Below are 12,536 nucleotides of genomic sequence, written 5' to 3'. Positions count from 1 at the left end.
GATGGAGTCTCGCTCTGTTGCCCAGGCTGGAGTGCAGTGGCACAGTCTTGGCTCACTGCAATCTCCAAGCAATTTTCCTGCCTCAGCCTCTCAAGTAGTTGGGATTACAGGTCCCTGCCACCACGCCTGGCTAATTTTTTTTTTTTTTTTTTTTTGTATTTTTAGTAGAGACAGAGTTTCACCATGTTGGCCAGGCTGGTCCCAAACTCCTGACCTTGTGATCTGCCTGCCTCGGCCTCCCAAAGAGCTGGGATTACAGGTGTGAGCCACCACATTTTGCCAAGTTTCAGGAATTCTTACACATCCAAATGATATGATTCTAAAGTTTCCAGAAACCTGTATTCAAGAGCTCTTTTCGTGGTCCTTCCCATCCTTTCAGGAACCTAAAAGACACCATATTCTAGGATATTTTGTGCTTGTGAAGTTTTCAGAAACTGCATCAGTATTAAGCAGTTAACTGTGGAAATGACGTTAAAATAGTCATAGTTACACAATTGACAAGTAAATTTGGTTATTTCTGTGGTCTACAATTTATTATAACTGTAATTATGATTGATAGCATGTATTTAGACATATTAGAATTTTAGAAATCCCATACAATGTTGTAACATAGTTTAACATTCATTAGAATATAACCTGAAGAAGGTTAGACATTTCTTATTTTGACAGTGATTCCCATGTAACTTAACATGTCATATAATCCTGTTTACCCATCTTTTGGATGCTTCAGGGGCCTCTGTAGCATCCCAAAGTTAGAAGTCAAAAAAGACTTAATTTTGAAGCTGAAATTTGATTTTGGGAAGGCTATCAAATATATTAAAGGTTTAAAACACTTGATATTATAAAATGGACTTCGAGGTCACAATAAGTCATTTAGCCAAAATAACTCAAAAAATTTTTAAAGGTAAAAATTTGACTCATTGATAGAAGACTTAGCTTTTCAAATAATCTGTGTCTTTCTCTTCTTTTTCTGTAGTTTATTTGGAGGGGAAACAAAACTTTTATTATTCTGTAATATTACATGAAAATCTTATTCAAGAGAGAATGCCAGATTTCATCTTTGCGTTAATGTACTATTAATGTCAACCCCAATTTTTAATAAAACCTTATAGACAAATTCAGTCTTTATCATTTTGACCATAAGGTGAGATTCTCATAAACTTTTGATAACCTTTTACAAATTTGTATTAAAAAGCAGTTCAGTGCTCTAATAAAACCCTTTTGTGCTTTTATTCCAATGTTCAATTTATGGAAAAACTGAATAATGCTACTTTAAATTTAGCCAATATGTTCACACACACAGTTTCTTTTACAAGATTAATTTTTCAGAAATCTTCCACAACTTGTTCAAACCTTTAGCTTTATCCTATCTAAATTAAAACAATCCTTTAACCCTCTAAACTAGGCAAAAATTTACATTCCAATGCCTTCTTATAATCTTTTACTAAAAGCACATTTCACTTTGCTCACACAGCTTCCATGTGAAATCTTTTTCAGTAGTCTCAATTACATGTTACAGTGTTAACTCTTAGCAATTTTTATTTTTGTTGAAAAACCTGGCAAGTAACTGATTTTAATTATGTACTAGGTCTGGAGCCTAGGACATCAGAAGTGCAGATAAAGTCTGACTATTTCAAGCATAGCCAGGGGGCATGGCTAATTCCACATGTCCCCAGGCCTTTCCTGGTGGCTCCAAAACAGGTAAGTTGAACAAATTTTAGAAGTCAAAGAAGCAGTTTATTTAAAGCATTTTATAAATCTAATATCTGACCTGCCTAATTTAGACCAAATGCCTTTATTTTACCAATAAACTTTAAAACTGTCTTTATTTCCCAAAGTTTACTAAAGTCAGATGAACTAAAAGGCATAACAGTTTTTATTTTTCTGAAAAAAATATTTGATTTAAGCACTCATTGATTTTTAAACCAATTAGAGCTTTTTCATTTATAAACATCACACACAACATATAAAAATACAGACAGAAGTAGATCCAGTAGTTGTAAGATTTTTTCATTTGCCAGTTTTTGTCAGTTTTGTCTTAATTGGATTACTGGCTTCAGGATGGAGTCCTTTGTGGAAGAGGGCTAGGAAAATATGCGGTTTTTAGGACCTAATAAACAGGCACAGCTGAAAGGCAAAACAGATCCCCCAAAATTTAGGGTCCCAGTTTATACTGGATCCCCAAAAAAGAAATGATCTGGAACAAGACAGTGCAATGATCCTTACCATGTATTTGGTGCAGAGCAATCCAAAACCAATTAGTTCATTTTGTGATCAGCCCATCCCTTATGGGAGCCTTATTTCTCAGTGGGGAGTGAGGACATTTCCATACTTTCTAGGTGACCAAGAACATGTTTCTCTGATTGAAACGTGCAAAGAGCTGAGTATCCCCCCCCCATAACTGCCATTTGCCATCCCCAAAAATATAGCCTTAGATTTTGTGAGGAATCTATCTGCTTTCAATTCCTGGGGTTTCGTGAGGAAAACAGAGGTTTTTCCCAAAACCAGGTCTGTGGTGCCTCCTCTGTTTTTCCCAAGGAGTTCCAGGCTGTTAGAAGTTATCTTAGTAACTGATGCATGCACAGTTAACCTCGTGTGTGCATCAAGAAAAGCAAGAAGACAAAATGGAGAAAAACAATTAAGTTAACTGAAAAGAAAATACCTTTTTTTTCCTTTTTTTTTAATGGAAAAATAAGATCGAAGAAGAGAAAAAATCAAAAAGGACTTAAATATACCTATATCTTGGATATTCTATTTTAATTAAGCTGGCTTTTACCTATAGTGCACTTTAAAAAAAAAGCCATTTTAAACTCATATTAACCTGACTTAAGCTAGGTCAAACAGCCAATATTTCTGGCTTTTTAACTATTACAAAAGTAATCTCCCAGGTGAAACCAATAAGCCTTAACTAAGGTTATGACTTAACCACGAGTGTCTGTGGTATTTTCAAAGCGGTAGTAAGCAATTTTTACAAAATCTAGACTCTCCACAGGTAGCCCAGAGAAGGAAAAATTCAAGATGGATGTCGGAAGTTGTTCATGGAGGGAAAGAGAATAAATGGCAAAGATCACACAGATATCAAACCAGAAAGGACTCATTCTCTGAGCCAAGAATTGAAACCAGGCTGCCACTGTAAAAAGGCAAAGTCTTAGCCACTAAGCTATAGCATTAGGTAATTTCCATTGCTCTTCACAGAAGGAGCCTAGAGCAGCCAGTTTTGAACTTGCAAAGGCTTTTAACTGCTCAAGATAATTTTTAGTACTATGACATGAACTCCACAATTCCTGTCCTCCAGATGGTGGAGACCAAGAGAAAGTACTACCATTTGGTAACAAGCTCCCAAGGACATAAAACTAGATGAGAGGGAATCCCCATCCATTTTTTTTTTTTTTAATGTTTCAGACACCTGCAGCAAAGTTTGTAATTGACCAGTTTACTGGACTGGCTTGAACAGTGAGCTTATGGGGGCCCTAGGCCTGCATTCTATCCTGTAGTACCCATTTTTATGACAAAATGATCCCAGTTCATGGCACAAAGTACACCAGATTTGCTACAGTTTAAGACTAGTCTCACAAATCCTTTTTTTCATTAATGAAAACTTTGCAGAGGAGATAGTGATTTTTACCATTTCTACAGCTAGTTTCCACAGAGAGAGGCAAGAAGTCTGAGGCAAGAAGTCTGAGGCAAGAAGTCTGACCCTTTTGGAGGCATGTCAAGCTTCTAGGTTCCCTTTCCCTTAGTGATCTTCGCAACCCTGCTTGCTGCCCATAGCCTTGGCCAAGCCACATTACAAAGGAAAATTACCTTTTTCTATTTCATAAAACCTATTTCTGTTTCTTAAAACCATAGGCAAAAGCCTTTCAGTTTTGCAAGATGCTTACAAGAGGTTGCATGGGGTAACCAAATTAACATTTTCTATTCTGGCCAATGCAAAATACATGTGACAAAACTCTGCTTAGTGCCCAATATCGAACCGGCAAGGGTCAGACTTGCCTCAGGTTGGGCCCTGTCATCCACTGAAAGTGAGATGGAATGAGCTTCCAACCAGGAATTTCAATATGTGGACTCTGGGCAAGATGAAAGAGCAGACAGTTGCCCTGAGTAACAGAAAAGCTAGAAAAGGGAAAAGAGAAAAATATTGTCTGTGGCGGGGTGGGGAAGGCAAAGAGCTCAGGGAGGCCAGAGAAGGACCTACCCATTGCAGTAACAGTGAATTAAAGTTCAGGGGGCTGCTTATCAGTCGTGAAGGGATCTTTTTTAGGAGTACCATCAGCTCTCGTTTCCCTATTTCAGGAGAAAAACAGTTCCCCATGTCCCATGATCCTTTACATGCCGAATCCTGTCATCCACAGCCATCAGCAGAGTGCAAGGCAGATTTAATTTCTTTAATCAGTCTTTTAAGCTGTTTGTTTTTCTGTAAAGTCTTTAAAATACTGAAGTATTTTTAGAAGCTTTTGCACATCAATAGACATCCTTCAATGAGACTGATGTAAGAACCCTTATTTTCAAATCACTTCAGTGCAGTGTTGTTCATTTAAAATGTTCCACTGTAAGTTATCTTTAGTTAAGATTTTGCCATTTCTGTAAGACTTTGCTGCTTCCGGGGCTTAATACTTATGCGTGTGTAAGCCGGAACTCAATTCTTCAGAAATTAAGGATGCCATTTTTACCACAAATATTGGCTTTGCCATCAGGTTCCCTTGATCAGCTTAGCCAGTGATTTTTTTCCTACCTAAGTGCACAAGAAAAATGAAACAAAGGAGTAGAACACAAAAATCCCTGCAAATTTCCAAAAGCCAAATTTTATGCCCCCTGCAATATTGCCATTTACCTGGGTTCTTTTTGACCCCGTCAGATGTAAGAGGCCTCTAACTGGATCCAAGACAGTTAATTACCATATTCTATCCTTGACCCAGTCCAGTTTTGGTCACGACTTCCAAACCCAGTTTGGATCAGAAATTTGCTCAAAGAAACTTGGAGCGCTCAAAACACAAATCCGTGGAACTTCAAAATCTGAGAACTTTCCATGATCCCCAGTTGCTGCGAGAAAGCAGTGGGCACTGTGGGCCCGGCAGGTACCTTGCTTGGTCACTCAGCACTCCTGGGAGTCATTAGAAGCTCTGCTTCAGATCCCACTTCTGATGCCATCTGTTAAAAGAAAAACTTTAGCCAAATTAAATTTAAAAGACTTTAATTGAGGAATAAAAGATTCATGAGTCAAGCAGCCTCCTGAGCCAGAGTAAGCTCAGGGACTCCAGTGCAGCCAACATGGTGGAAGAAGATTTATGTACATAAAAAGGGAAGTTACATAAAAAATATAGTAGTGAGGTATAGAAACAGCTGGATTGGTTACAGCTAGGAATTTGCCTTATTTGAACAGAGTTTGAACGGTTGGCTGTATATGGCCAATAGTCTGTTGTTGGCACAAGTGTAGGCTGTGGTCTGTTTACATGTCCACTTGTTATACAGGGAAGCCTTTAGGCTGAACTTAAAATATGTAAAGAGGCAGCTTTAGGCTAAACCTGATTTAACAAAGTTATACAAGTCAATTTTGTTATCTTTGGCTTTTGGTTTTTGGCTTTTATGTTGCTTTAAAATTTTTAAGAGTTGAAGAATGCCTGCCCACCCCTATTCCTGTCTGGCCTAGAATATGTCAAAGAAAAGAGTCAAACTTTGTAAAATATTTGAAGAGATTTATTCTGAGACAAATTTGAGCGACCATGGCCCATGATGCAGCCTGTAGAAGGTCCTGAGAACATATGCCCAAGGTGGTCGGGGTGCAGCTTGGTTTTATACATTTTAGAGAGGCATGAGACATCAAATACATTTAAGAAATACATTGGTTTGGTCTAGAGAGGCAGGACAACTCAAAGTGGGGGGGCTTCCAGGCTATAGGTGAATTAAAAATTTTCTGGTTGATAATTGGTTGAGTTTGTTTAAAGATCTTGGATTCATAGAAAGGGAATGTTCTGGTTAAGGTAAAAATTGTGGAGATCCAAGTTCTTTTGAAGTGTTATAGTGGCTGCCCTTAGAGACAGTAGATGACAAATGTTTCCGATTCAGATTTTAGTTACATCTCTTTAGGATTGGGAGGGTCTTGAAGAAAAAATTCCAGCTATGATAATGGAGATTGTTTACAGATGCAAATTCTCCCCCACAAATAACAGCTTTGTAGGGCCATTTCAAGATATGGCAAATAAACATGTTTTGGGGTAAAATATTTTGATTTTCTTCCTTGTCTCATAATGTTATGCCAGAGGCAGGTTGGAAAATATGTCATGATATATAGGGTTAAATAAAACCCTTCTGATGAGAATTTATGATTTGTAGGGCATGGCTCTCCAGACCCCTTAGATAGGAACGTGGGCAAGATAAAAAAAAAAAACCAGAGTTTAGTCCTCAAACATTTAAATTGGCTGTAAGTCTTTTGGCTTTAAGTCTGTTGGCCATAGGGGCCCCGTCAAGGAACAGAATCCAGGGCAGGTAGGTTCACCACTCTTGCAACAGGGAAAAAATTAAAGTTTGACTTTTTTTTTTTTTTTTTTTTTTTTTTTTTGAGACAGAGTCTTAGTCTGTTGGTTAGGCTGGAGTGCAGTGGCATGATCTCAGATCACTGCAAACTCTGCCTCCTGGGTTCAAATGATTCTTTTGCCTCAGCCTCCCAAGCAGCTGGGATTACAGGCATGCACCACCACACCTGGCTAATTTTTGCATTTTTTTGTAGAGATGGGGTTTCGTCATGTTGGTCAGGCTGGTTTTGAACTCCTGGCCTCAAGTGATCCGCCCACCTCAGTCTCCTGAAGTGCTGGGATTACCGACATGAGTCACCAAGCCCAGCCAAAGTTTCATTATTGATGTTGCCTTGCAAACGTTTGCCAGAAAGAGCAGGATGTAAAGCACAAATAAAATTCTAAGTCCCCCAACTACTAGATTTCTCAGTCAAGGAGGACCAAACAAACCTGAAAAACTAGTTCAGGCCATGATGGTAAGTGGGGTCAGACATGTCTCATTGTACACTTTTATCCTTGGAGTTGAGGCACAAGTGAACAGCATTAACATTATAATTATAACTGACAAAACAGCCTCTTTGTAACAAGAAGACCAACTCCAACCTGACTGTGGCATAACTTCACATGACAAATAACAGGACTTAAAAGAAAATCAAAGTATGCCTTAAAAGAAAATCAAAGTATTTTACCTCAAAATATATTTTTTGACATATTTTGAAATGGGCCTGCAAATCTGTCTCTTGATAAAATGCACATTCTGTAAAGAATCTCCCTCCCTTACTTGTCCTCTCCTGAAATTCTGACACCTATGATGAGAACATTCACATATATTCTTTCTGAAACCTGCTATCTAGAGGCTTCATCTACATGACAAGAACCTTGGCTTCTGCAACCTTCCCCCTTAACTGAAGTTTATTCCAACTAGGTTGTACTAATTTACATTGTATATGCATTCACTTTTTTCTTTTTCTTTTCTTTCTTTCTTTCTTTTTTTTTTTTTTTACTTTTTAATAGTAGCCATTCTGACTGGTGTGAGATGGTATCTCACTGCAGCTTGAATTTGCACTTCTCTGATGATTAGTGATGAGCATCTTTTCGTAAGCTTGCTGGCCACTTGTATGTTTTCTTTTGATAAATATCTTATTACATCCTTTGTTTGCTTTTTAATGTTTTTTGTTGTTGTTGAGTTGCTTGAGTTCCTTATAGATTTTGGATATTACTACTTTGTCAAATGCATAATTTGCAAGTATATTCTCCCATTCTTTAGGTAGTCTGTTTGCTCTGTTGATTATTTCTTTTGCTGTGCAGAAGCTCTTTGGTTTAATATAATCTGATTTGTGTATTTTTTGCTTTTGTTGCATTGACTTAGTTATAAATTCTTTGCAAAGACCAGTGTCCAGAAGAGGTTTTTTTGGCTTTTATTCTAGAGTTTTTATAGTTTCCAGTCTTAAATTTAAGTCTTTAATCCATTTTCTGTTAATTTTTATATATGGTGAGTGATAGGGGTCCTGTTTTATTCTTCTACTCGTGGCTGTTTAATTTTTTTAGGACAATTTATTGAATAGGTTGTTTTTTCCTCATTGTGTATTTTTGTTGACCGTGTTGAAGATTACGTGGTTGTAGGTGTAAGGGTCCTGTTCTGTTCCATTAGCCAGTTGGTATAATTCTGTACCGTCATCATGCTGTTTTGGTTATTACAGTCTTATAGTATAATATGAAGTCAGGTAATATGATGCTTCCAACTGTGTTACTTTTGCTTAGAATTGCTTTGGCTGTTTGGGCTTTTTTTGTTCTATGTGAATCTTAGAATTGTTTTACTAATTCCTTGAAAAATGATGGTAATAGTTTGACCAGAATGCATTGAATTTGTTTTATTTCCTTGGGCAGTATGGTCATTTAAAAGACATTGATTCTACCAAATACGTGGTTATAGGATTTTTTTATATGTTTGTTTCATCTATGATTTCTTTCATCAGTGTTTTGTCTTTACTCAGAGTGTAGTTTTCCTAACACAGGTCTTCTACCTCCTTGACTAAAATGAACATCTAGGTATTTCATGTTTGTGTGACTATTGTAAATAGGATTGAGTTCTTGATTGGGTTTTCACCTTGAACATTATTGGTGTTTAGAAATGATACTGCTTTTTGCACATTGATTTTGTATCCTGAAACATTACTGAAGTCATTTATAAAGTCTAGAAGTTTCTTGTACGAGTCTTTAGGGTTTACCAGGTATAAGATCAATAAGCAAACAGAGATCATCTGACTTTCTCTTTTCCAGTTTGGATGCCTTTCATTTCTTTCTCTTGCTTACTTGCTCAGTCTAGGACTTCAAGTAGTTTCTTGAATATAGGTGATAAAATTGGGTATCCATGTTGTGTTCCAGTTCTTAGGGAGAATACTTTCAACTTTTGCCCGTTCTGTATGATGTAGGCTGTGGATTTAGCATACATGACTTTTTTTATTTTGAGGAATGTTCCTTCAATGCCTCATTTGTTGAGGAATTTTTTTTATCATGAGGGGATATTGGATTTTATCCAATACTTTTTCTGCATCTGTTGAGATGATCATAGGGTTTTTCTTCATAGTTCTGTTTGTGTTGAATTACATTTGTTGATTTCCTTATGTTGAATTACATTTGTTGATTTCCTTATGTTGAACCATCCTTGCATCCTTTGAATAAAACCCACTTGTATGTGATGTATTACCTTTTTGATGTGCTGTTTTACTTATGTCTGGTAACATTCAGCTGTGAATCTGTATGGCCCTGGGCTCTTTCTAGTTGGGAGATTTTCTAAATTACTGTGTCAAATTAATTACCTATTATTTGTCTGCTCAGGAATTTTATAGTTTCCTGTTTCAGTCTTCTGAGGTTGTATGTATCCAGGAATTTATGTTCTGTAGATTCTCTAGTTTTTGAGCATATGCTCATAGTAGTCTCTAATAATCTTTTGTATTTTTTTGGTATTATTACAGGAGTTATTAAATTATTTTAGGTAGCCAGAAAGGGTAAAAGAGTCCTCAGTAAGGCTTTATCTTTTAATAAAAAAGCAGCCCCCCAAACATTTCTTTTTTAAAATAAAGTGGCCTGAAAAACCATAGTTGCAAGCATTGATATGCAAGCTACAGGTTTGCATATGTAAATGCAGGTAGCTAAGAGCCAGGTCCACCCAATATGGTGGTTCCCACTACTTTTTCTTTGTTGCCACATGTACGGACATCATGGTGGGGAGTCAGGTAGAGGCCACCTGTACAGGTGTCATGGCAATCAGCTAGATGGCTGAATTTGCATAATAAAAGGCCAGTTTTATTGCAGGTTATGCGAATGACATACCTGGTCAAACCAATCCCCTGGACCCTATGCAAATCAGACATCACCTCCTTGAATCTCCCAATATAAGCAACTGCTTTCCCTCCATCTGTATGGGGGAGCTGTTCTCTTCTTTCTTGCCTATTAAACTTTCTGCTCCTTAATCCACTCCACATGTGTCCATGTCACTAATTTTCTTTGTACAAGACCAAGGACCCTGGGTGTTTCCCCAAACAACAGAGCCATGTCAGTATCAGTTGAAATGTCAACTTTACTCTTTTTGATTGTGCTTATTTGAATGTTTTTGCTTTTTTTTGTTTGACCTAGCTACCAGTTTGTTAATTTTGTTTGTTCAAAGAGCCAACTTTTCATTTTGTTGATCCTTTGTATCTTTTTTCATTTCAGTCTCTTTTCCTTGGGCTGCGATGTTTGCATTTTTTGTTGTTATGCTGGCCTTGGGTTTGGTTTGTTTTTATTTCTCTAGTTCCTTGAGGTGTGACATGGGTCGTTATTTTGAGCTATTTCTGTCATTTTGACATAATTAATGCTGTAAACATTCATATTAGCATTCCTTTTGTTGTATCCCAGAGGTTTGGGTATTTTTTTGTCTCTATTTTTATTCTTTTCAAAAATTTTTTGATTTCTGCATTAATTTTTTGGTTTACCCGAAGATCATTCAAGAACAGTGTTTAGTTTCCATGTATTTGTGTAGTTTTGAGATTTCCTCTTGGTATTGATTTCTAATTTTATTCAAAATTACAATAGGATTACCGTGGTCTGAGAAGATACTTGATATTATTTTGATCTTTTTACATTTATTGAGACTTTCTTATGGTAAAACATATGGAGTACTTTTGAGAATGTTCCATGTGCAGATGAGAAAAATATACATTTTGTAGTTGTTGAGTAGGATGTTCTGTTCTGTAGGTGTCTATTTGATCCATTTGGTTTAAAGATCATTTTAAGTTCAGAGTTTCATTGTGGATTTTTATCCTTGATGATTTGTCTACTGCTGTCAGTGGGGTGTTGAAGCACCCTGCTATTACTATATTGCTGTCTGTGTCTTTCATTCAGTCTACTCATATTTGGTTAATGAACCTTGGTTTCCAGTTTGGGGTGTATGTATTTTAAGAATAGTTATATCTTCTTGTTAAATTGAATTCTTTATATAATAACCTCTTTTTTTGTTGTTGTTAATTTAATGTCTGTATTATCTGATAAAAGTACAATTGCTCCTGCTCATTTTTGTTTTCTGTTTGCATGGTACACCTTTATCCACCACTTAACTTTGAGTCTGAGTGTGTTGATTCATTAGGTGGGTTTCCTCTTGGCAGCAAATGGCTGAATCTTGTTGTCTTAAATTCAATTTGCCATTCTCTATCTCTTAAGTGGAGCACTTAGGCCATGTACATTAAAGGTTTATATTGATATATGAAATTTTATTCCTGTCATAATATTGTTATCTAGTTTCTTTGGAGTCTCAATTGTGATTGCTTCATAAGATCTGTGAGGTTTGTATTTGTATATATTTTTTAACTTTAATGATTATTTGTTTATTTATTTTGAGACAGGATCTTGCTGTGTCACCTAGGCTGGTGTGCAGTGGTGCAGTCTCAGCTCACTACAACCTCTACCTCCCAGGTTCAAGTGATTCTCCTGTCTCAACCTCCTGAGTAGCTGGGATTACAGGCCCATGCTGTCACACCCACCTTATTTTTTCTATTTTTAATAGAGATGGGGTTTCACCATGTTGGCCAGGCTGGTCTCAAACTCCTGACCTCAAGTGTTCCACTCACCTTGGCCTTGCAGAGTGCTGGAATTACAGGTGTGAGCCACCATGCCTGGCTAACAATTATTTTTGATGCAGAGGTACATGTGATTGATTGCTGCAAGGGTATATTGTACCCAGTTAGTAAGAATATTATGCAGTAGGTAGTTTATCAACCCATACCCCCCTTTCTTCCTCCCCAATCTAGTAGTTTACAGTGTCTGTTGTTCCCATGTTTATGTCTCAGTGTGCTGAATATTTAGCTTCCACTTATAAGTGAGAACATGTAGTATTTTCTGTTTCTGTGTTAATTTGGTTAGGATTATAGCCTCCAGCTTTATCCATGTTGCTTAAAAGAACATGATTTTATTCTTCTTTTGGCTGTGTAGTATTCTATGGTGTATATGTATCACATTTTCTTTGTCCAATCTACTGTTGAGGGGCAGCTGGGTTGACTTTCCATGCCTTTGTTGTTGTAAATAGCACAGTAATAAACATACAAGTGCATGTGTCTTTTGGTTTATTGATTTATTTTCTTTTGAGCATATTCCCAGTAATAGGATTGCTGGGTCTAATGGTTGATCTGTTTTAAGTTCCTTGAGATATTACAAAACTGCTTTCCCCACCAACAGTGCATAAATATTCTCTTTTCTCCACAGCCTCACCAGCATCTGTTGTTTTTTTTGACTTTTTGATAATAGCCATTCTGACTGGTGTGACAGTATCTTATTTGGTTTTGATTTGGATTTCTCTTATGATTACTGATGCTGAGCAGTTTTTTTTATATATTTCTTGGCCACTTGCATGTGTTTTTATAATGGTATGATTCTTTTGTTTCCATGTTTAGAACTTCTTTGAGCATTTCTTGCAGGGCTGGTCTAGTGGTGACAAATTTCCTTAGCATTTGCTTGTCTTTGAAAGACTTTGTCTCTGTTTTATTTGGCAGGATA

General features: G+C 36.8%; 1 long non-coding RNA gene across 2 annotated transcripts in view; it reads right to left on the bottom strand.

The window, feature by feature from the left end:
- The window catches only part of LOC105375815 (uncharacterized), an 80,550-nt gene that overhangs the window by 17,162 nt on the left and 50,852 nt on the right, over positions 1-12,536 (bottom strand). The window contains exon 4 of one of the 2 annotated variants that reach the window (XR_928842.3): positions 4,832-5,148. The exons of the other annotated variant lie outside the window; for it this stretch is intronic. This is a non-coding gene — a long non-coding RNA (uncharacterized LOC105375815). The remainder of the gene's footprint in view (positions 1-4,831; positions 5,149-12,536) is intronic. 2 annotated transcript variants of the gene reach the window in all.

This window comes from Homo sapiens, chromosome 8 (assembly GCF_000001405.40).
Source record: "Homo sapiens chromosome 8, GRCh38.p14 Primary Assembly".
NCBI lineage: Eukaryota > Metazoa > Chordata > Mammalia > Primates > Hominidae > Homo > Homo sapiens.
This window is presented reverse-complemented; position numbering and strand designations above follow the sequence as displayed.